Below are 24,905 nucleotides of genomic sequence, written 5' to 3'. Positions count from 1 at the left end.
CCAATGTGCACTTGTTCTACATCAGCATGTGGGCTGGTTAGCACAGCTCCATGCCTTGGCCAGGGACTGCCCCTAACCCCATTCAGCTGTTTAAAAATGATGGCTAAACAAAGCTAAAATGAGAAAACTCGGCTCTGCCCTATTCCTCCTCAATTTGGAAAAAAACAAAAAGCCCCAAATGTCTATGTCTCTTCATCATAATTCAAAGGAATTACCACCCGGTAAACTCACTGAATTTATAAGCTAGGTCCCTTGTCTCAATTATCAAGCACTTATTAAGCTCCCTAAGCTAGAATATACTCAGGAAATGTGTTCAACAGTAACTAAACGATCATGTAGACTATGTAATTTCTATGTTCAACAAAGAAGTGTCTTGATAATTATATTTTAATATACTCTCTCAGTCCTTATGGAAGACAAAAAACACATCACTAGTTTTTCCATTCCAGGCAATCTGTTAAAAGAAACCAACGTTACTTATAAACAGATTTCAAGCTATCAGGAGAGTAAATTAAAAATATACTTGTGTCTTTTAGATACATTTTTAAAACCATTTGTCAGATTCTTGTTCTGGCAAGAGTCTTAAGACTGGCCACGTAACTTCTTTTTCATTATTTATTTATTTATTTATTTTTTGAGACAAGAGTCTCTCTTGTTGCCCAGGCTGGAGTACAGTAGTGCGATCTTGGCTCACTGCAACCTTCACCTCCCAGGTTTAAATGATTCTTCTGCCTCAGCCTCCAGAGTAGCTGGGATTACAGGCATGTGCCACCATGCTCAGCTAATTTTTGTGTTTTTAGTAGAGAGGAGGTTTCACCATGTTGGCTAGGCTGGTCTCAGAATCCTGACCTAAAGGGATCCACCTGCCTTGGCTCACAAAGTGCTGGGATTACAGGTGTGAGCCACCACACCCAGCCCCACATAACTTCTTAAACTTAAAATTAATCTTTATATTCTAGTGTCTTCCAATTAAATAAATGGAGGCCATGCTCATGACTCACACCTGTAATCCCAGCACTTTGGGAGGCCAAGGTGGGCAGATCACTTTAGGTCAAGAGTTCAAGACCAGTCTGGCCACCATGGCAAGACACCATCTCTACAAAAAATATAAAAAATTAGCCAGGCATGGTGGCACAAGCCTGTAGTCCCAGCTACTCGGGAGGCTGAGGTGGGAGGATCGCTTGAGCCCAGGAGTTTAAGGCTGCAGTGAGCTATGATCATGCCACTACTTTCCAGCCTAGGCAACAAAGCAGGATCCCGCACAGTCAATCGATAAAAAGTGCATATGGCTCTTTAGCATCATTAGTTACACACAACTTTAAGAAAATGTCACGTTTTTATGTTCCATCTCTTTGAACAAAAATTAATCACCTACTATTTTTCTTTCTTGAAAAAGCATTATTGGTCGATAAAAAGACTATTCCCATATTACCCGGCCTAACTGTCTTTTCCAGCAAATGACTTAAGTTATACAGAATATACTTACCCTAGCAAATCTAACCATAGTGCCCCCTAATAAAAATCCTAAATAGCAGGCCATAGCAGAAAGCACTTGTAGTCCCAGCCATTCAGGAGACTGAGGCAAGAAGATTGCTGGAGCTCATGACCAATCTGGGCAACACAGCCAGCTCCATATCTCTCTATCTATCTATTTATCTATCTCACCTATTTATTATTTATTTCACATAGGGTCTCACTCTGTCCCCCAGGCTAGGGTGTGGTGGTATAACTGTGGCTCACAGCAGCCTCAAACTTCTGGCTTAAGCAATCCTCCCACCTCAGCCCCCCAATTAGCTGGGACCACAGGCACACACCACCACGCTCAGCTAATTTTTATATTTTTGGTAGAGACAAGGTCTTGCTCTACTGACCAGGCTGGGCTCAAACTACTGGCATCATGCAATCCTCCTCCCACCTAGGCCTCCCAAAGACTGCATCTCAATTTAGAAAACAAAAACAAACAAAACCAAATAAAAACAATGACATGAGGTTTTCTATGGGGGTGAGGGCTCACATTATTTCTGACAAGATTTGGAGACAAAGAAATTCCAGTATCTTTATCACATACTTCCTGCCATGGAAGATCTCTGGGTCCATTTCTATAAAAAAGGAGTTGTGCACAAAGGTATCAGGAATTGGAGCATGTGTGTGAGGGGGTGTGTGTGTGTGTGTGTATGTGTTAAGTACCAGAGCTTTAGAAAGTCTACAAACCTCAGCTGGGCACAGTGGCTCACACCTATAATCCCAGCACTTTGGAAGGCTGAGGCGGGTGGATCACGAGGTCAGGAGTTCGAGACCAGCCTGGCCAACATGGCGAAACCCTGTCTCTACTAAAAAAATACAAAAAATTAGCTGGGCATGGTGGCATGTGCCTGTAATCCCAGCTACTCGGAAGGCTGAGGCAGGAGAACTGCGTGAACCCGGGAGGCAGAGGTTGCAGTGAGCCAAGATCGCGCCACTGCACTCCAGCCTGGGTGACAGAGCAAGACTCCGTCTCAAAAAAAAAAAAAAAAAGAAAAGAAAAGAAATAATGCATTTTATGTCTATATATATAGTTTTTAAGGACCATTATGACCAGCAGAGGTGGACAAAAGAAATAGAAATACAGATTATGAACAAAAGTTGAAGGCATTTCTTTAACCTAAGAGGAGTGAAACACTGCACTTGCTCACACATCCTTACCCTGGTCACAAGCTGCTGCTTTCATACACCCTATGCTCACCTGTGCCCTCTATTTGTGCCTCATACTCTCTGGAAGGCTGAGTAAGTAGCAATTCCTCTTGAAGCTTTCCTGACCGAGGGTAAGAATCTTTTGAGCTCAAACATTTTGTAATACCTCTAAGATGCACTGATTATACACTACAATGAAAAAAAGCTCAACAATATCTTAAATTTGATCACCACCAGTAGATCATAGAAAACCACCGTTTTTCCTCAACAACTGCCAAAACGACAAACAAGGGGCTAGGTTTTTTCACTTTTTGTTTTTTCTGCAGTAGAAAAAGAATTTAATTAATGGAAGGGTGGTCCATGTTAGAGAACCAGAGATATCGCCCAAATCAGTCACCTTTTTTCTGCACATTTGTATGCTATCAATGCATACATCAGGTGTTATTAAGGAATAGTAAAGAATATAAAGTTTTCATCCCAGTGATCCTCAAAAGAAAACAAAAAGCCATATATCCTATAAGGTCAAGAGTCACCTGCCTGGGAAGCAGATTTTAGGTTCTAACCTTTGGCTTCTAATGGCTATATAATTTTCTTAGAACCTGGAAGACCAGCATTTCCCAAAATGATGTCTGCTAGACCCTCTTCTGTACCATTCTGAAAAGATATTCAAATCAATCGGGAAAGGCCCGATTTTTATTGTCTTATTGTTTTTTTTCGTTTGTTTTTAAAGACAGAGTGTCACTCTGTCATCCAGGCTGGAGTGCAGTGGCACGATGTCAGCACACTGCAACCTCTGCTTCCTAGATTCAAGCAATTCTCCTGCCTCAGCCTCCTGAGTGGCTAGGATTACAGGTGCATACCACCACGCCCAGCTAATTTTTTGTATTTTTAGTAGAGATGGGGTTTCACCGTGTTGGCCAGGCTGGTCTCGAATTCCTGACCTCAAATGATACGCCCGCCTCAGCCTCCCAAAGTGCTGGAATTACAGGCGTGAGCCACTGCGCCTGGCCAGGAAAGTCTGTTATTAAAACAAAGTTAAAATGGTTACTTTACTGGAGAACTTTTGTGGGGCTTTAATATGGTAATACACATTATAAATTTCCAACCTAAAATTCCATTATGAAGCCTTTAGCAAAGTAGTTTAAGCAAGATCCTGAGAAGAGTCTGGAAAACGCTTCAAAGAAGTCTTTTGTTTTTTGGTCACCGTAGTACTGAGTACCTTAGTTCCTAAAAAGTTCTTACCTGATATGTGTTGCGGGCAGAGATTCATACTGGCGTGACAAAAAGAGTTCCCTATGTTTCAACTGATGTTTCTGCTTATCGGTCAAGTCAGCCTCAACTGTTGTTTCAGATTCTTCCTCAATTTCTTCTACACAAATAAAATTCAAAGAATTTATTAGTACAAAGCACATTATCTGTTTGGATATTGAAACAGATCAAATCAACATTTTATTCAATATTTTCTTCAAACTAATCAATTTTAAATTTAAACATTTGCCAGGTGCAGTGGCTCATGCTTGTAATCCTAAGCATTTTGGGAAGCTGAGGCAGGTGGATCACCTGAGGTCAGGTGTTTGAGACCAGCCTGGCCAACATGGCGAAACCCCATCTCTACTAAAAATACAAAAAGTAGCCTGGCATGGTGGTGGGCGCCTGTAATCCCAGCTACTCGGGAGGCTGAGGCAGGAGAACTGCTTGAATCCAGGGGGTGGAGTTTGCAGTCAGCCAAGATCGTACACTTCACACCAGCCTGAGTGAAAGAGCAAGAATCTGTCTCAAAAAAAAAAAAAAAAATTAAACATTTATCTTGTCAGTTCAACTATAACCATAAAATTATCAGGGCCTCAAAAGAAGAAAAATTCCAACTTAAAAATGGCAGATGGTACCCCAAAAATATACACAAATATTACATATCAATTTAAAAATTAATTCACTTTTTTTTCGGAGATAGAGTTTGCTCTGTCGCCCAGGCTGGAGTGCAGTGGTGTAATCTCAGCTCACTGCAAACACCACCACCTAGGTTCAAGCAATTCTTGTGCCTTAGCCTCCAGAGTAGCTGTGATTACAGGCGTACATCACCACACCTGGCTAACTTTATGTATTTTTAGTAGAGACAGCGTTACACCATGTTGCCCAGGCTGGTCTCGAACTCCTGGGCTCAAGTGATCTGCCTGCTTTGGCCTCCCAAAGTGCTGGGATTACAGGCATGAGCCACCACACCCAACCTCACAGAAGGGATTTTATCAAATATAATGCTCTTGTTGAAGTAGTTCTTTATGAATAGCATGAGGGTAATGAATGGAGTAAGTATCAGATCTTTTCTACTTTCAAACTTTTAAAACTGAATTGAAAATGAACCTTAAACAGTAACTTAGAAAAAGATGCACCTAGCTCAAAGCAAGAATAAAGCAATTTAAAATTCTTTGGATATTCTTTTTAATGAACTACTCAAAGAGAAATATAGCACTAAAAGGGCCATTTACTTGCAGGTCTAATAACATTTCACCAGTGAAGATTGATAAAGTTGCTGCTGCATTGGCACTATTAGCACTAGAAAATATCACATACAAAATTACACTCTTTACCTAATTAGGATTTGACAAATTGTTGTTGTATAAGACACAGCTAACTGAATTCTAATGCATACCCTACAGAGCTAAAACAGCAACCAGCTCTACAACAGCAACAGTAAATCTTACGTTCTTATACGATCCCTTGGTTCACCATAAAAAGGACCAAAATCACTGAAATCCAACCTAACCAAAGACAAAAATCACAACGGCATCTCTCATGATGCAGATCACTAATGAAAACCACTTTTTAAAATTTACCAGTTAAATTTCAAATTTCATTTATGTATTTGTATAACTTTTTTTTAGACGGAGTCTCGCTCTGTCACCCAGGCTAGAGTGCAGTAGCACAATCTCGGCTCACTGCAACCTCCATCTCCCGGGTTCAAGTGATTCTCCTGCCTCAGCCTCCTGAGTAGCTGGGATTACAGGCGTGTGCCACCACACCTGGCTAATTTTTGTATTTTTAGTAGAGACAGGGTTTCATCATGTTGCCCAGGCTGATCTCGAACTCCTGAGCTCAAGCAATCTGTCCACCTCGGTGTGAGATAAATCAATTATTAGAGTGGATGAAGAGTAAAGAGAATTCAAAAGATAAATTTAAAGTTAGACAGGCCAGGTGTGATGGCTCATGCCTGCAATTCCAGCACTTTGGGAGGCTGAGGCAAGCAGATCGCTTGAGCCCAGGAGTTCAAGACCAAACATCTCTACAAAAAATACAAAAATTAGCCAAGCCCATGGTCCCAGCTACTCAGAGACTGATGTAGGAGGATCGCTTGAGCCCAGGAGGTGGAAGGTGCTGTGAGCTGAGATCGCACCACTGCACTCCAGCCTGGGCGATACAGCAAGACCCTATGTCGAAATAAATAAATAAATAAAGTTGAACAATGCCTCTGAGCCAGAGTCTGATCCATGAGACTCTCACCAATCTCCAGCGGGAGACTCCTCTTTGCTACAAAGCAGCACCCACATACGCTTAAGGTACTTCACAGTATGCTTTGCTCTACTCTACAGTTAACTGATTTCACTGCATCCCTTGAGAACAATGACAGGTCACTTATCTTTGTATCCACCCTATTTTACTTGCGGGGTAAAAGTGAACCTCAAGAAACATTCAGAGCTCTACCCTCTACCTCTACCTACCTCTACCTCTACCTCTACCCCTACCCCTACCCCTACCCCTACCCCTACCTCTACCTCCGGTCTCCCTCTCATGCGGAGCCGAAGCTGGACTGTACTGCTGCCATCTCGGCTCACTGCAACCTCCCTGCCTGATTCTCCTGCCTCAGTCTGCCGAATGCCTGCGATTGCAGGCACGCGCCGCCACGCCTGACTGGTTTTGGTGGAGACGGGGTTTCGCTGTGTTGGCCAGGCCGGTCTCCAGCCCCTAACCGCGAGTGATCCGCCAACCTCGGCCTCCCGAGGTGCCGGGATTGCAGACGGAGTCTCGTTCACTCAGTGCTCAATGGTGCCCAGGCTGGGGTGCAGTGGCGTGATCTCGGCTCACTACAACCTACACCTCCCAGCCGCCTGCCTTGGCCTCCCAAAGTGCCGAGATTGCAGCCTCTGCCCAGCCGCCACCCCGTCTGGGAAGTGAGGAGTGTCTCTGCCTGGCCGCCCATCGTCTGGGATGTGAGGAGCCCCTCTGCCTGGCTGCCCAGTCTGGAAAGTGAGGAGCGTCTCCGCCCGGCCGCCATCCCATCTAGGAAGTGAGGAGCGCCTCTTCCCAGCCGCCATCACATCTAGGAAGTGAGGGGCGTCTCTGCCCGGCCGCACATCATCTGGGATGTGAGGAGATCGTCTGAGATGTGGGGAGCGCCTCTGCCCCGCCGCCCCGTCTGGGAGGTGAGGAGCGTCTCTGCCCGGCCGCCCCGTCTGAGAAGTGAGGAGCCCCTCCGCCCGGCAGCTGCCCCGTCTGAGAGGTGAGGAGCCTCTCCGCCCGGCAGCCACCCGATCTGGGAAGTGAGGAGCGTCTCCGCCCGGCAGCCACCCCATCTGGGAAGTGAGGAGAGTCTCCGCCCGGCAGCCACCCCGTCCGGGAGGGAGGTGGGGGGGGGTCAGCCCCCCGCCCGGCCAGCCGCCCCGTCCGGGAGGTGAGGGGCGCCTCTGCCCGGCCGCCCCTACTGGGAAGTGAGGAGCCCCTCAGCCCGGCCAGCCACCCCGTCCGGGAGGGAGAGGGGGGGTCAGCCCCCCCACCCGGCCAGCCGCCCCGTCCGGGAGGGAGGTGGGGGGGTCAGCCCCCCACCTGGCCAGCCGCCCCCGTCCGGGAAGGGAGGTGGGGGGGTCAGCCCTTCCGCCCGGCCAGCCGCCCCGTCGGGGAGGTGAGGGGCGCCTCTGCCCGGCCGCCCCTACTGGGAAGTGAGGAGCCCCTCTGCCCGGCCAACCGCCCCGTCCAGGAGGGAGGTGGGGGGGTCAGCCCTCCACCCGGCCAGCCGCCCCGTCTGGGAGCTGAGGGGCGCCTCTGCCCGGCCGCCCCTTCTGGGAAGTGAGGAGCCCCTCTGCCCGGCCAGCCGCCCCATCCAGGAGGGAGGTGGGGGGGTCGGCCCCCCGCCCGGCCAGCCGCCCCATCCGGGAGGGAGGTGGGGGGGTCAGCCCCCCGCCCGGCCAGCCGCCCCGTCCGGGAGGGAGGTGGGGGTGTCAGCCCCCCGCCCGGCCAGTCGCCCCGTCCGGGAGGGAGGTTGGGGGGTCAGCCCCCCGCCCGCCAGCCGCCCCGTCCGGGAGGGAGGTGGGGGGGTCAGCCCCCCTGCCCGCCAGCCGCCCCGTCCGGGAGGTGAGGGGGCGCCTCTGCCCGGCCGCCCCTACTGGGAAGTGAGGAGCCCCTCTGCCCAGCCAGCCGCCCCGTCCGGGAGGGAGGTGGGGGGGTCAGCCCCCCGCCCGGCCAGCCGCCCCGTCCGGGAGGTGAGGGGCGCCTCTGCCCGGCCGCCCCTACTGGGAAGTGAGGAGCCCCTCTGCCCGGCCAGCCGCCCCGTCCGGGAGGGAGGTGGGGGTGTCAGCCCCCCGCCCGGCCAGCCGCCCCGTCCGGGAGGGAGGTGGGGGGGGTCAGCCCCCCCGCCCGGCCAGCCGCCCCGTCCGGGAGGTGAGGGGCGCCTCTGCCCGGCCGCCCCTACTGGGAAGTGAGGAGCCCCTCTGCCCGGCCACCACCCCATCTGGGAGGTGTACCCAACAGCTCATTGAGAACGGGCCAGGATGACAATGGCAGCTTTGTGGAATAGAAAGGCGGGAAAGGTGGGGAAAAGATTGAGAAATCGGATGGTTGCCGTGTCTGTGTGGAAAGAAGTAGACATGGGAGACTTTTCATTTTGTTCTACACTAAGAAAAATTCCTCTGCCTTGGGATCCTGTTGATCTGTGACCTTACCCCCAACCCTGTGCTCTCTGAAACATGTGCTGTGTCCACTCAGGGTTAAATGGATTAAGGGCGGTGCAATATGTGCTTTGTTAAACAGATGCTTGAAGGCAGCATGCTCGTTAAGAGTCATCACCAATCCCTAATCTCAAGTAATCAGGGACACAAACACTGCGGAAGGCCGCAGGGTCCTCTGCCTAGGAAAACCAGAGACCTTTGTTCACTTGCTTATCTGCTGACCTTCCCTCCACTATTGTCCCATGACCCTGCCAAATACCCCTCTGTGAGAAACACCCAAGAATTATCAATAAAAAAATAAATTAAAAAAAAAAAAAAAGAAAAGAAACATTCAGAGCAGACCAAGTAAGAATTATCGAGCAACACTAAATTCAGCAGCAGCAAGGATAGACTCACAAAGTTACAGCATAAAACACTGCAGAACATAAACATCAATAAGTTACTGTAAAAGGGGCTTTATTTTTCACATTTCATTCCAGTGCTTTTCAAAATTCTTCTTTCAAGATTTAACACAAAGTGGATGGGAGACTAAACTTAAGAGTTACACTGGACGCCGGGCGCAGTGGCTCATGCCTGTAATCCCAGCACTTTGGGAGGCCGAGGCGGGTGGATCACCTGAGGTCAGGAGTTTGAGACCAACCTGGCCAATATGGTGAAACCCCATCTCTACTAAAAGTACAAAATATTAGCTGGGCATAGTGGCGGGAGCCTGTAATCCCAGCTACTCTGGAGACTCAGGCAGGAGAATCGCTTGAACCCAGGAGACGGAGGTTATAGTAAGCCAAGATCACGCCATTGCACTCCAGCCTGGGCGACAAGAGCAAAACTCTGTTTCAAAAACAAAGAGCTGGGTGCGGTGGCTCACGCCTGTAATCCCAGCACGTTGGGAGACCGAGGCAGGCGGATCACAAGGTCAGGAGATCGAGACCATCCTGGCTAACACAATGAAGCTCCGTATCTACTAAAAATAGAAAAATTAGCCAGGTGAGATGGTGGGCGCCTGTAGTCCCAGGTAGTGGGGAGGCTGAGGCAGGAGAATGGCGTGAAGCCGGGAGGCGGGGCTTGCAGTGAGCCATCACTGCACACCAGCCTGGGTGACAGAGCCAGACTCCGTCTCAAAAGAAAATAAAAAGGAAAGAAAGAAAATTGTGTTGACCTCATAGACCCCCTGGAAAGGATTTCAGGAACTGCTGAACTAAATGCAAAAGAAATCTTACCTTAAAGTACATATTAAATGAAAACCAAAAATTGGCTAAGTATGAGTTTTTTACTTTACTGACTTTAAGAAATTTACCACAGAAATTTTATTTCCACAGTGTGAGATACAAGGACTCATCAGTTATTCTATAGCAAATCAGGATCCCATCAGAAATTTAAGCTATTTCTGCTTTATATTTATTCAAAGAACACTGCATCGGGCAAAAGCTGCCCAATACTGTAATAAATTCCAAGTCCATATGGAATTTTATATAGTCTCAACATGCTACTGTACTATTTTTCACTTGCTATCAATTTTAAAACAAAGAATCAGAACCAAATTATCTAGCACCAACAGAGCACCATCCATCCTCTAATTCATTAACACCCCAGCAAGCAGCTTCCTAAAACACAATTTCTATTTCTCCCGTTTTGATAAAAAGGCCTCAATAACTTCCAACCAACCACCATTAGGGTAAAAACTAAACTTTCACGGCTTATACATCTAACAATCTGCCTTGCCACATGTTTTAACAAGGACCTGTGTTCTCCCTTCCACCCTACCCCCAGCAAAAAAAAAAAAAAAAAAGTAAATTTATTGATGTGCCTACCAACGTGTTCTGAGGCTATGAGGAAGCCATAAAAGTCCTACCCTGAATTACAGTCCATCCTGGATTCCAGGCAAGAATATATACCTTCAGATTTGGTGAGTACTATAAAATTACACAGCATACTCTGGAAGCATGACAGAGGAAATTCATGTCATGTAGCTTGATGAGCCAGCAGAGGCTTCTCTGAAGAAATCAGTCTGAACGGACACCAGAAGGGAAAGGGGGTGGATGGCTGGGCCCCTGTCTTTGGTAATTAGAGAACACTCCTCTGGATAAGGATAGCCCAGGTATCTGTACTTGGGCTTGGTCTGACTGAGGGAATTTACTGCTTTTCCCTTCACATCCTGCTAACTCAGCTAAAAACCTCATTAGGGAGTGTCTCCCAGTTTTAAAGCTCAAAATCCCTCATTTAGAGAACCCCTCAGTCCCCAGCAAATGAGGACAATTTGATCACCCTAGCCCTCATATTACCCAAATGAAGCATTAAACTTATGGTACCATAATAGCTAAAAATTTAAAAGACTGAAAGAACATAGACCAACTGGAGTTCTCATACATTAACAGAGGAAGTGAAAAATTGGTCCAACCACTTTGGGAATCTGTGTGGCAAAATCTACTGAAGTAAAATTTCTGTGACAAGTTTCTTCCACCACATGAACCAACAATGTTTCTCCTAGGTAATTACCCAAGAGAAATGAGAGCATAAGTACACCAAAAGACCTGTACATGAATGTTCATAGGAGCTTTATTTGCAGTAGCCAAAAACTGGAAATAAGCCAAATGTTCAGTAATAGGAGAACAACAACTAAGGCTGGGTATGGTGGCTCACGCCTGTAATCCCAGCACTTCAGGAGGCCGAGGCAGGTGGACAGCTTGAGCCCAGGAGATCCAGACCAGCCTAGGCAACAGGATGAAACCCCATCTCTACAAAAAAATACAAAAATTAGGACTGGGCAGTGGTTCACGCCTGTAATCCCAACACTTTGGGGGGCCAAGATGGGTGGATCACCTGAGGTCAGGAGTTCGAGACCAGCCTGGCCAACATGGCAAGACCCCCGCCTCTACTAAAAATACAAAAATTAGCCGGGCAAGGTGGTGGGTGACTGTAATCCCAGCTACTCAGGGGGCTGAGGTGGGAGAATTCCTTGAATCCGAGAGGTGGAGGTTGCAGTGAGCCAAGATCATCCCACTGCACTCCAACCTGGACAACAGAGCAAGACTCCATGGGATCAGACAAAAACAGCTGGCAGTGGTGGTGCACACCTGAAATCCTAGCTACTCCAGAGGCTGATGCAGGAGAATTACTTGAACCTGAAAGGTGGAGGTTGCAGTGAGCTGAGATCGCAACCCTGCACTCCAGCCTGGGCAGCACTGCAAGACTCTGTCTCAAAAAAAATTAGGTGGGCTTCGTGGCGTGAACCTGGAATCCCAGCTACTCAGGAGGCCGAGGTGGGAGAATCCCTTGAGCCTGGAAGTTCAAGACTGGCCTGAGCAATATAGTAACACCTCATGTCTACAAAACAAAACTTAGAAAGTTAGTCGTGTGGCGGCACGCACCAGCGAGAGGGTCACTTGACGGAGACCCTGCCTCAAAACAACAACAACAAAACAGACAAGGCAGTGCTCAGTGCTTACACAGTGTTGTGAGCAGTATTTATTTACAAACAGCCACACTGGAAAAACTTAATAGTTCATAGCGTATTGGATAGACTACACAAAAAGGTCTTGCCTCTGTAAGAGGGAATAATTAAGCCCCAGGCTGAGCACTGCTCCACACTCACTTAACAAATCACAGATGCAACAACCAAACATCAGGCTGTTTCCAAGTAACTTAAATGCATCCCAGAACAAAGTTCAAGTTGATTTATAATAATAAAAAATGGGTCAGGGATGGTGACTCACACCTTAATCCCAGCACTTTGGGAGGCCAAGGCGGGTAGATCGTGAGATCAAGAGATGGAGACCATCCTGGACAACATGGTGAAACCCTGTCTCTACTAAAAATACAAAAATTAGCCGGACGTGGAGGCGCATGCCTATAGTCCCAGCTACTCGGGAGGCTGAGGCAGGAGAATTACCTGAACCCGGGAGGCGGAGGTTGCAGTGAGCCAAGAACACGCTACTGCACTCAAGCCTAAGCGACAGAACATGACTCCATCTCAAAAAGAGAAAAAAAGAAAAAAGAAAAAAATCCAGAGACAAACTCTACTCAGCAAATAAAAGATGTAAAAGAAATGAACCATTGAGCTAATCACAGTGGCTTACGTCTGTAATCCCAGAACTTTGCGAGGCCAAGGCAGGCAGATCAGCTGAGGTCCGGAGTTCAAGACCACCCTGGCCAACATGGCGAAACCCCATCTCTATTAAAAATACAAAAATCAGCCAGGTGTGGTGGCGCATCCCTGTAATCCTAGCTACTAGGAGACTGAGGCACAAGAATCGCTTGAACCCAGGAGGCAGAGGTTGCAGTGAGCGGAGATCACACCACTGCACTCCAGCCTGGGTGACAGAGCAAGACTCGGTCTCAAAACAAAACAAAGAAACATGGGCCTGAATGGGAAAGGGGATGCAAAAAAAAAAAAAATTAATAAAAAGAAACATGGGCCATATATACTATAGGATGTAACCTTTTTCAAACCTTTAACCAGTTTGGAAACCAAAAGTCAGAAAATTAATAGTCTACCATGGACAAAATGGAAATAAGAATCAGTTGGAGGGTAAAGGATTATAACTTCACTTCCTGCAACCATCTGCTATAGTACATTTCATTCTGGGAGCCCTTCACTAACAAATTTCTTCTAATCCTGTTGCCCTTTCCCCTTTACAGCTGTTCATATGAAAAGACAGACAACCACAAGCAAGTTTTTTTGTTTTGTTTTGTTTTTTTTGAGACAGAGTCTCGCTCTGTTGCCCAGGCTGGAGTGCAGTGGCGCGACCTTGGCTCACTACAACCTCTGCCTCCTGGGTTCAAGCGATTCTCCTGCCTCAGCCTCCTGAGTAGCTGGGACTACAGGAATGTGCCGCCACACCCAGCTAATTTTTTTTGTATTTTTAGTACAGACAGGGTTTCACTGTGTTAGCCAGGATGGTCTCAATCTCCTGACCTCGTGATCCGCCCGCCTCGGCCTCCCAAAGTGCTGGGATTACAAGCGTGAGCCACCATGCCTGGCCCATAAGCAAGTTTTTTAAAAAGTCTTGAAATGGAAAACATTTCCCTAACTGTATAGAGAACAGAGTAGTCTGAAAACCACCTAAACAAAAGAAGAAATGAAACTCCTTAAGCTACAAAAACCCACCAAATGAGTCAACCATATTATACCTTAATGACAAAAAGAATTAAACAAAAACAGGAAATAAAATATTTTATTTTGTTATCTTTAGGGATATCTTTACAACATCTTAACCTTGAATAATTTTCTACCATGATGAAATTAATTCCTGTCAGGAACTGCAGTTTCACCCACATGAATTACCACTACTCTTTTCTTTTTTTTTGGAGATGGAGTCTCACACTGTCGCCCGGGCTGGAGTGCAGTGGCGCAATCTCGGCTCACTGCAACCTCCACCTCCCAGCTTCACGCCATTCTCCTACCTCACCCTCCTGAGTAGCTGGAGGCGCCCGCCACCACACCCGGCTAATTTTTGTATTTTTTTTAGTAGAGACGGGGTTTCACTGTGTTAGCTAGGATGGTCTCGATCTCCTGACCTTGTGATCCACCCGCCTCGGCCTCCCAAAGTGCTGGGATTGGGATTACAGGCATAAGCCGCCGCGCCCGGTACCACTACTATTAAATGTAAAGCAAGTTTGGCTAGCCAACTATTTTTATAATGTTGCTAGAAAGATGCACAAATCCCCATAATATGAAAACATGTGCAGCTTTAAAGACTCATAGAAGTCTTATAAACATGGACACGATGCAACACTGGCTCAGGAAAAACTTGCGGAAAGGAACTGGCATGAGGTACACTGAAAGGATATGGGACATTAGCCACCGTCCTGAGCCCTGAGCTGTCACCACTAGCAAACGAAGTTAAAAAGGAGAGCAGCCACAACCATTCTCCACATTCCTAGGTGTCAAGAAAGGGGCAGAGTGAACTAAGGCTTCAGATGACCATTTTCCAACTTCCTGGCTGGAAGGGACAACTGAAAATGCATGCCACTAGCACAACTCTAGAAAAGCCTCCAGTGGTACCCACTTCCCATGTATGTCAAGGCTTCTGTGTTAATGTGAAAGTCCTCCAGGGGGCCCAGTCAAAGCTACTGTTTTCTGCATGTCTTATGATTTGTAGGGGCTTTTATTCATTTAATCGCTACAAAAACCCTCAACACAGGAAGGGTAATAAGGTAGAAAGTATTAATGAGTCCCTTGTAAAGATGAATTAAGGCTCAACAACGTTAATTTATCTGCCCCATAATGCCAAATTATACAAACATATAACAAAATGCAGTATATTTATCTTATCCAAAATAAATTTTAAGGAGATAAATAAAACATACAAAAGAAGCATTTAGAGGACAGGATACTAATCCAGTTAGGTGACCTTAGACCTAACCAAGGACTCAACCAAAAAATACAGAGGGTTTAAACAGATTATGTATAAGGTCCTTACAGGTCTAAAATTCCGTGATTTGGAATGCTAAATGAAAAATACTTTGGACTACCTAAATATAGAGGCACTATATTAAGGTAAAAGCACTATTTAGAAATAGAAGTAGTGAAGGCCAGGCGCGGTGGCTCACGCCTGTAATCCCAGCACTTTGGGAGGCCGAGGCGGGTGGATCACGAGGTCAGGAGATACAGACCATCCTGACTAACACAGTGAAACCCCATCTCTACTAAAAATACAAAAAATTAGCTGGGTGTGGTGGCAATAGTCCCAGCTACTCAGGAGGCTGAGGCAGGAGAATCACTTGAACCCAGAAGGTGGAGGTTGCAGTGAGCCAAGATCATGCCACTGCACTCCGGCCTGGGCAACAGAGCAAGATTCTGTCTCAAAAAAACAAAAAGAAAAGAAAAGAAATAAAAATAGTAGCAAAAAGATCCGGAATTCAGTGAATGTACACTATACTTCAATAAAAAGATTTGTTTTAAAAAGATAACTTGGCCAGGCGCAGTGGCTCATGCCTGTAATCCTAACACTTTGGGAGGCTAAAGTGGGCAGATCGCTTCACCCCAGGAGTTCAAGACCAGCCTGGGCAACGTGGCAAAACCCTGTCTCTACAAAAGGATACAAAAATTAACCAGACACGATGACACACAACTGTAGTCCCAGCTACTCAGGAGGCTGAAGCAGGAGGATCAGTTGAGCCTGGGAGGCAGAGGTTGCAGTAAGCTGAGATGGTGCCACTGCACTCCAGCCTGGGCAACAGAGCAAGACCCCATCTCAAAAAAAAAAAAAACAGGTGGGTGAGGTGGCTCACACCTGTAATCCCAGCACTTTGGGAGGCTGAGGCGGGCAGATCACAAGGTCAGGAGTTTGAGACCAGCCTGGCCAACATGGTGAAACCCCATCTCTACTAAAAATACAAAAATTAGCTGGGCGTGGTAGTGCACGCCTGTAATCCCAGTAACTCAGGAGGCTGAGGCAGGAGAATTGCTTGAACCCAGGAGGTGGGGGTTGCAGTGAGCCGAGATCATGCCACTGCACTCCAGCCTGGCCAACACAGCAAGACTCCATCTCAAAAACAGAAAAAAAAAAAAAAAAAAAAGATAACTTGTCGGCCAGGTGCAGTGGCTCACTCCTGTAATCCCAACACCTTGGGAGGATTAGGCAGTAGGATCACATGAAACCAGTACTTTGAGACCAGCCTGGGCAACACGGTGAGACCCCATTTCTACAAAAATAATAATAATAATAATTTTTTAAAAAGATGGCCAGGTGTAGTGGCTCATGCCTCTAATCCCAATTCTTTGGTAGGCCGAGGTGGGCGGATTGCCTGAGCTCAGGATTTCGAAACCCGCCTGGACAACAAGGTGAAACCCCGTCTCTACTAAAATACAAAAAAAAAATTATTCACCGGGCAATGCAGTTTGCTCCTGTTGTCCCAGCTACTCAGGAGGCTGAGGGAGGAGAATTGCTTGAACCCGGGAGGCAGAGGTTGCAGTGAGCCAAGATCGCACCACTGCACTCCAGCCTGGGCGACAGAGCGAGACTCTGTCTCCAAAAAAAAAAGATAACTTGTGGAAAATTTTAGATTAGCTACTTCAAGTATAAAAATGATTTTCATTCTGTAAGTCCACAGACAGCAAAAAAAAAATTAAGGATTTTCAATCAACTAGTCACATGAAAATATACAACATGAGCCTGTATTCTTCCAGACCACAAATTAAGCCACACAATGACAGAAGTAAAGCTAACACAAGGCTTTCTAAAAAGCTTAAGAATATCTAATTGCTGGAATGCCTCATTTAATGATCAATAAGCAATGTGACATCAATTTTAAAGTATTAATACAGTACTTGCTTTGTTCACAAAAAATATAAACCATTAACATTCAGAAGACCAGATCAATAAGAAAATGTATATCATAAAACATAATTAACTTGTCAAATAATAAACCTTTATAATATTTACAGTTGATAATAATCTGGTTAATGAGACACAAACTTGCCATAACTGCCAATTACAAAATGTCACTTACAAAAATAAAAACTCCATAAAATAGCAAGAGAAAAATGTCCTTTTAAATGAAAGTTGATTACTTTAATGCTGTGATAAAAAATAGATTTTATGCCAACTCCAATCAAGGGGTAACAGCTGGCTAGAAAGGACCAAGTGGGCCCAAGGGCAGAGTAAGGACTCAGTATCTTGGTTGGGCCCTGGCTGCAAAAGGAGAGTAGCAGGCTGACTGAGGTCTATGTGCCTACACACTTCATAGACTAAGAAACAAAAAGCCATGGGCTATGTTCTCAAAATGTAAAATGTTATAAGAAAATACAACACACATCTTAAAAATCAACTATGTTTAGCTTTATTCCTAATAAACTTTGTGACTGAAGTACAAAATTAGAAATAAGAAAAAGTTTTTCAAATGCCAGGATGACCTTTTATTGTTCTTTTATTTTCCCTTCTCTCTTTAGTATTTCTCTCGGAAGTATTAAGATTTCAAAAACTGGGCAGAATGAATCACAGACAAATGCTTTCAGAAACTTAGATGGGGACATATATAATGTAAGATGGACTTAACTTACATGTAGAATAAAATGGACTTACATGTAAAAGCATTTAGAGTGTCTGGTATTATGTGTTAGCTCCTACTATTATTGTTAAATCATTATTGTAACTTATTACTAAGTCATAAGTTACTAAGTAAAAAGTTACAATAATAATTTTTAAAATTTTTTCCAGTCCTATGTGATCTGAAAAAATATATATATACCCAAATACCGTTTACTTAAACATGGGAAGGTAGAGGACAAGGAAAGAAGAAAAGCTAAGTAAAATGTATTTCCTTGTTCTAATAGGAGAAGAAGTCACGGAAAAATGTAAGGTTAAACACGTCAGTTTACAATTAGGAATATCTGCTTTACTTCCTTTATTGGAGTAACTAAAGGTTTCTTTTATTATTTTCCCCCTACAAATTAATTTAGCAAAAGTTAAACTCAAAATAGGCAAAGAATATAAACAGTTCACAGAAAAGGACACACATGTGGCCTTTTAAAAATATAAAAACATGCCGGGCACAGTGGCTCACGTCTGTAATCCCAGCACTTTGGGAGGCCGAGGCAGGCAGATCACGAGGTCAGGAGATTGAGACCATCCTGGCTAACACGGTGAAACCCCATCTCTACTAAAAACACAAAAAAATTAGCCGGGCATGGTGGCAGGCACCTGTAGTCCCAGCTACTCGGGAGGCTGAGGCAGGAGAATGGCGTGAACCTGGGAAGTGGAGCTTGCAGTGAGCTGAGATCGCGTCACTGGACTCCAGCCTGGGTGACAGAGCGGGACTCTGTCTCAAAAAAAAAAAAAAAAAAAAATGAAGCTCCTGTTTAGCCTTACTACCTTGGTTTTGAATAAGAATAGATAACTATGGCCCAGTGTGGTGGCTCACACCTGTAATCCCAGCACTTTGGGAGGCCGAGGCAGGCAGATCATGAGGTCAGGAGATCAAGACCATCCTGGTTAACACGGTGAAACCCCATCTCTACTAAAAAATAAATAAATGAATAAATAAATAAATAAATAAATAATTAGCCAGGCGTAGTGGCAGGCTCTTGTAGTCCCAGCTACTTGGGAGGCTGAGGCGGGAGAATGGCGTGAACCCAGGAGGTGTAGCTTACAGTGAGCTGAGATCGCGCCACTGGACTCCAGCCTGGGCAACAGAGTGAGACTCTGTCTCAAAAAAAAAAAAAAAATATATATATATATATATATATATGTATATTTATATATGTATATATGTATATTTATATATGTGTGTATATATATATTTATATATATATATAAAAAGATGTTCCACTTCAGTCATAAGAAATTTAAGATACAATCCCACCAAGGCACCATTTTTAATCTGTAAGATTAGTAAAGATTAAAAAATTTAATCCTAGGCCTGGTGCAGTGGCTCCCACCTGTAATCCCGGCACTTTGGGAGTCCGAGTTGGGTGGATCACCTGAGGTCAGGAGTTTGAGACCAGCCTGGCCAACATGGTGAAACCCTGTCTCTACTAAAAACACAAAAAATTAGCCGGGCATGGTGGTGCACACCTGTAATTCCAGCTACTCAGAAGGCTGAGGCATAAGAATTGCTTGAGCCCGGGAGGCAGAGGTTGCTATGAGCTCAGATCATGCCACTGCACTCCAGCCTAGGGACTGTCTTTTAAAAAAAAAAAAAAAAAAAAAGGGGCCTGGCGCATGGCTCCCTCCTAGCACTTTGGGAGGCCAAGGCAGGTGGATCATCTGAAGTCAGGAGTTCAAGACCAGCCTGGCCAACATAGTGAAATCCCACCTCTACTAAAAATACAAAAATTAGCCAGGCATGGTGGTGTGCGCCTGTAATCCCAGCTACTTGTGAGGCTGAGGCAGAAGAATCGCTTGAACCTGACAGGGGGAAGTTGCAGTGAGCTGAGATCACACCACTGCACTCTAGCCTGGGTGACAAAAGAAGACGTCTCAAAAAAAAAAAAAAAAAAAAACTTAATCCTATACTGGTAAAAATGGAAGGGAATGGGCACTCATTCATTGCTGGTAGGTGTAAATTGGAAGAATATCTGAAGCAATTAATTTGGTAATATCTGTCAAAATCACAATGCATATAACCATTTATTTTTTATAGAGATGGGGTCTTGCTATGTTGCCCAGGCTGCTGAAATGCAGTGGCTATTCACAGGTTCCATTGTAGTGTACAGAGCAAAACTCCGTCTCAGTAAATAAATAAAGACTCCATATCAATAAATAAATAAAGATAGATGCCATAGTCCTCCGAGTACTAAATGACATATATAGTCACACACCACATAACATTTAAGTCAACAGCAAACCACACATATGAACAACGGTCCCTTAAGGTTATAATGAAGCTGAAAAACTCCAACTGCCCAGTGACACTATAGCGGTAATATCATGGCACAAAGCATTACTCACATGTCTGTGATGATACTGGTATAAACAAACCTACTGTACTGCCCATCAAATAAATGTATAGCACATAGAATTATGTACAGTACTAACACTTGACATAGATAATGACTATGTTACTGATTTATGTATTTATTATACTATACTTTTTTTTGTTTTGACACAGAGTCTCGCTCTGTCACCCAGGCTGGAGTGCAGTAGCACGATGTTGGTCAGGCTGGTCTCAATGTCCTAACCTCAAGTGATCCGCCCACCTCGGCCTCCCAAAGGGCTGAGATTACAGGTGTGAGCCACTGCACCTGGCCAATATACTATATGTTTTATTGTTGTTTTAATTCTATTTAATTTTTTTTTTTTGAGACAGAGCCTTGCTCTGTTGCCAAGGCTGGAGTGCAGTGACATGATCTCGGCTCACTGCAACCACCACCTCCTGGGTTCAAGCGATTCTCCTGCCTCAGTCTCCCAAGTAGCTGCGATTACAGGCCCATGCCACCACACCCAGCTAACTTTTGTTATTTTTTAGTAGAGACAGTGTTTCACCATATTGGTCAGGCTGGTCTCGAACTCCTGACCTCAACTGATCCCCCCACCTCAGCCTCCCCAAGTGGTGGGATTACAGGCGTGAGCCACCGCACCTGGCCTATTGTTGTCTTAGAGTGTATTCTTTCTACTCATTAAGGAAAAAAGGTTAACTGTAAAACAGCCCCAGACAGGTCCTTCGGAAGGTATTCCAAAAGAAGGAATTGTTATCAAAGATGATAGCTCCGTGTGTGTTACTGTTCCTGAAGACCTTCCAGTGGGACAAGATGTGGACTGAGAAGACAGTGATATTGATGATCCTGACCCTGTGTAGGCCTAAGCTAATATATATGTTTATGTTTTCATTGTTAATAAAAAAAGTTTAAAAAGTGAAAATGAATTTTTTTGAGACAGGGTCTCCATCTGTACACCAGGCTTGTGTGCACTGGTGCAAACACAGCTCACTGCAGCCTCAATCTCCCAGGCTCAAGCAATACTCCTGTCTAAACCTCCCGAGTAGCTGGGACCACACGTGCATGCCACCACACCCGGCTAATTTTTAAATATTTTGTAGAGACGGAGTCTTGTTATGTTGCTCAAGCTGGTCTTAAACTCCTGAGCTCAAGTGATCCTCCCATCTCAGCCTCCCAAAGTGCTGGGATTACAGGTATGATCTACTATGCCCAGCCATAAATGAATTGGTTTTTTGTTTTGTTTTGTTTTGTTTTTGAGATAGAGTCTCACTCTGTCTCCCAGGCTAGAGTGCAGAGGCATGATCTCAGCTCACTGCAACCTCTGCCTACTGGGCTCAACCAATCCTCCTGCCTCAGCCTCCCTTAGCTGGGACTACAGGTGTTTACCACCAAACCCGGCTAATTTTTATATTTTTTGTAGAAACGGAGTTTCACCATGTTGCCCAGACTGGTCTCCAACTCCTGGGCTCAAGCAATCTGCCAGCCTCAGCCCCCCAAAGTGCTGGGATTACAGGCGTGAGCCACTACACCTGGCCAAATGAATTTTTCTTAATAGGAAAAAAGCTTAAGGCCAGGCACGGTGGCTCACGCCTGTAATCCCAACACTTTGGGAGGTCAAGGTGGGCAGATCCCGAAGTCAGGAGATAGAGACCATCCTGGCCAACATGGTGAAACTCCGTCTCTACTAAAAATACAAAAATTAGCTGGGCGTGGTGGTGTGCACCTGTCATCTCAGCTACTCGGGAGGCTGAGGCAGGAGAATTGCTTGAACCTGGAAGGCGGAGATTGCAGTGAGCTGAGATCGCACCACTGCACTCCAGCCTGGGCCACTGAGCGAAACTCCGTTTCAAAAAAATAAAAATAAAAAATAAATAAAATAAAAAGAAAAAAAGCTTATAGAATAAGGATATATGATGAAAGAAAATATTTTTGTATAGCCATTCAATGTGTTTGTGTTTTAAGTTGTTATTACAAGAGTCAAAAAGCTAAACAAAATTAAAAGGTTTATGAAGTTAAAAAGTTATAATAAATTGGGTTAATTCATTATTGAAGGAAAACGTTTCCATAAATTTAGTGTTGCCTAAGTGTACAGTGTTTAGTAAGTCTACAGTGGTGTACAGTATGTACTAGGCCTTCACATTCTACCACCACTCACTCACTGACTCACTTCAAGGCCTGGAATCTCCATTCATGGTAAGTGCCCTACACAGGTGTATCACTTTTTATCCTTTCTACTGCATTTTTACTGTACTTGTTCTATGTTTAAATATGTTTAGATAAACAAATACCCAAAATTGGGTAACACCTGCATACAGTATTCAATACAATAACATGTGTACAGATTTGTACCCTAAGTACAAATAGGCTATACCACATAGCCTAGGTGTGTAATAGGCTATACCATCTAGGTTTGTGTAAGTACACTCTATGATGTCCACACAAAGACAAAATCACCTAATGACGCATCTCTCAGAACATATCCTTGTCACAAAGCAATCATGGCTATGTTCTGCAGACTGCTCAGTAGCAAACGATGAAAAATACCCTAATCCTCTACCAGTACACAGTGGTCAAATTACAGTACCTCAAAGTGTGGAATAACACACAGTCATGAAAACTGGAACACAGTTTTAAAAAAAGCAAACAGGCGGGCAGATCACTTGAGGTCAGGAATTCGAGAGCAGTCGGGCCAATGTGGTGAAACCCTGCCTCTACTAAGAATACAAAAATTAGCCAGGCATGGTGGTGCACACCTGTAGTCCCAGCTACTCAGGAGGCTGAGGTGGGAGAAGTGCTTCAACTCAGGAGGCGGAGGTTGCAGTGAGCCGAGATCGCACCATTGCACTCCAGCCTGGGTGACAGAGCGAGCGAGACTCCACCTCACAAAAAAAAAAAAAAAAAAAGCAAACATGAAAAAAAGCAAGCCCAGTTTCTCAGTCCATTTTGGGTTGCTATAAAAGAATACTTGAGGCTGGGTAATCTACAAAGCAAAAAGGTTTATTTGGCTCACAATTCTAATGGCTGTAAAGTTTATGACTGGGCATCTGCATCTGATGAAGGAATCAGGCTGCTTTCAGTCATGGCAGAAGGTGAAGGGGAACCAGTATGCAGCGATCACATGGCAAGAAAGGAAGCAAGGTTGGAGGTGTGCTGGTTCTTTTTAAAAACCAGCTCTCTAGGGAACTAACAAAGTGAGAAGTCACGTCTACTCCAGGGAGGGCATTAATTTAATCCATTCAAGAGGAATCTACTCCCATGACCCAACCATCTCCCATTATGCCCCACCTCCAACACCAGGGATCAAATCTCAACATGAGTTTGGAGGGCACAACATCCAAACCACAGCACGCAGGAAAAGGGCTATAGTGTACCCAAAGTCTCCAAAAGAAGAACCTGTCTCTTGGGTGTATAAGAAGACATTCTAAGGGGTACACAGAAACATAGGTTTAAGATCAACACCCACATGCTCCTACTGATCTGCCTGAGAACTAGCACAAGCTCAAGGCATCAGACTGATCTCTCCTCATCTCCACTTCTCACAACTGCCCTTGTCTTATATACAGGCATCTCCTCTCAACCACCCTAAATCTTACTGCAGAACTTGGGTGAAACATGGGGAGTAAAAACCTCCAGGATACCAAACAAAGGGACCATTGGTGACAAAAGAGAAATACAATACAGGTCTCTGAGAAGCCTCTAACCCAGATATCAAAAAGTTTCACAGTAGGGTTTTGTGTCCTATACATACTTCAGCCTGGGCAACATGGTGAAACTTGTCTCTACTGAAAATACAAAAATTAGCCGGGCATGGTGGCACATATCTGTAATCCCAACTACTCCAGAAGCTGAGGCAGGAGAATCGCTTGAACCTGGAAGGCAGAGGTTGCAGTAAGCCGAGATGGCACCACTGCACGCCAGCCTGGGTGAAAGAGCAAAACTCTCTCTCAAAAAAACAAAAATCCAAAAAGAGGTGGTTACCTTACAGATGTACAGTACTCATTTATTAAAATTGGAAAAAAGGAGTCAGACTTTCTGGCAGAAAATCAGTGTTATTTATTTAGCTGCCTGGTTTGTCAGGGAAGACTGGCTTTGCCATTAAGGTTACTGGTGATAATTTTCCACAACTGAACAAATTAAATCCACAGTTCCAAGAATTAGATGAAAATATATTTAAATAGTTTATAATTATATTAAAATTTGCATCATGTATTTAAATACATATTTAAGTATGTACATGATCTAAGAGTTAAACATTTACCGGACATAAATTTAAAACACAAACGTATATTTTAATGAACATTACTTCATTACTTCAACTTTCCCAAACCTTTGAGTATACTGGTTGAAATAAGGTGCCGATGATGGTTTTATGTGTCAAACTATCTAAACTATAGTACCTAGTCATTCAATCAAAATCTAATTTAGATATTGTTATGAAAATATTTTGTAGATATGAGTAACATCAGCTGACTCGAAGTTAAGAAGATTGGCCTCCACAATCAGGGTGGGCCTCATCCAATCAGTAAAAGGCCCTAAGTGCAAAACTAAGGCTTCCCTGAAGAAGAAATGTCCACCTAACAGACAGCCTCCCTGTGGATTTCAGACTTGCCTAGCCAGCCCCAGCAATTATGTAAACCAGTTCCTTGCAAAAAAAATCTCTTTATATGTATATAAACCTGTTGAAAATTTTATATAGCATATATATATATGTATAATACATACATGTGTATACATGCATACATATGTGTCTGTATATTTATACACATACATAATCTCCATCTGGTTCTCTTTCTCGGGTAAAACACTAATTGATACACCTATAGGGATAGGTGAATAGTAAGAAGTATAATTAATAATCTTTTGTTAGGTCTCAGTAAAACCTTTTTACTTTGCTTCTCAGAAAATGAGAATGCAAAGGGCCCTAA

General features: G+C 44.7%; 1 protein-coding gene and 1 long non-coding RNA gene across 10 annotated transcripts in view, besides 1 other annotated feature; one reads left to right on the top strand and one right to left on the bottom strand.

Annotated features, from left to right (window-relative positions):
- MTA3 (metastasis associated 1 family member 3) overlaps positions 1 to 24,905 on the bottom strand; it is a 262,837-nt gene that overhangs the window by 143,450 nt on the left and 94,482 nt on the right. For all 6 annotated transcript variants that reach the window (NM_001282755.2, NM_001282756.2, NM_001330442.2 and 3 more), the window contains one exon: positions 3,913 to 4,039. In NM_001282755.2, coding sequence (NP_001269684.1) covers positions 3,913 to 4,039 — 127 coding nt within the window. The remainder of the gene's footprint in view (positions 1 to 3,912; positions 4,040 to 24,905) is intronic.
- The window catches only part of LOC105374555 (uncharacterized), a 36,950-nt gene that overhangs the window by 6,387 nt on the left and 5,658 nt on the right, over positions 1 to 24,905 (top strand). Inside the window, exons 3-4 of one of the 4 annotated variants that reach the window (XR_001739431.2) lie at positions 10,371 to 10,506; positions 17,494 to 17,573. The exons of 1 other annotated variant lie outside the window; for it this stretch is intronic. This is a non-coding gene — a long non-coding RNA (uncharacterized LOC105374555). Of the gene's footprint in view, positions 1 to 10,370; positions 10,507 to 17,493; positions 17,575 to 24,430; positions 24,505 to 24,905 lie in introns of those variants that run through there. 2 more of the 4 variants (XR_001739429.3, XR_001739430.2) reach the window with 2 other exon arrangements.
- Positions 6,637 to 7,388: an enhancer, noted in NCBI's record as "H3K27ac-H3K4me1 hESC enhancer chr2:42833249-42834000 (GRCh37/hg19 assembly coordinates)". NCBI's record gives its function as "activates a minimal SCP1, AML or CMV promoter by ChIP-STARR-seq in naive H9 embryonic stem cells {active_cell/tissue: H9 hESC(naive)}" and the evidence as "EXISTENCE:reporter gene assay evidence [ECO:0000049][PMID:30033119]".

This window comes from Homo sapiens, chromosome 2 (genome assembly GCF_000001405.40).
Source record: "Homo sapiens chromosome 2, GRCh38.p14 Primary Assembly".
Lineage (NCBI taxonomy): Eukaryota > Metazoa > Chordata > Mammalia > Primates > Hominidae > Homo > Homo sapiens.
This window is presented reverse-complemented; position numbering and strand designations above follow the sequence as displayed.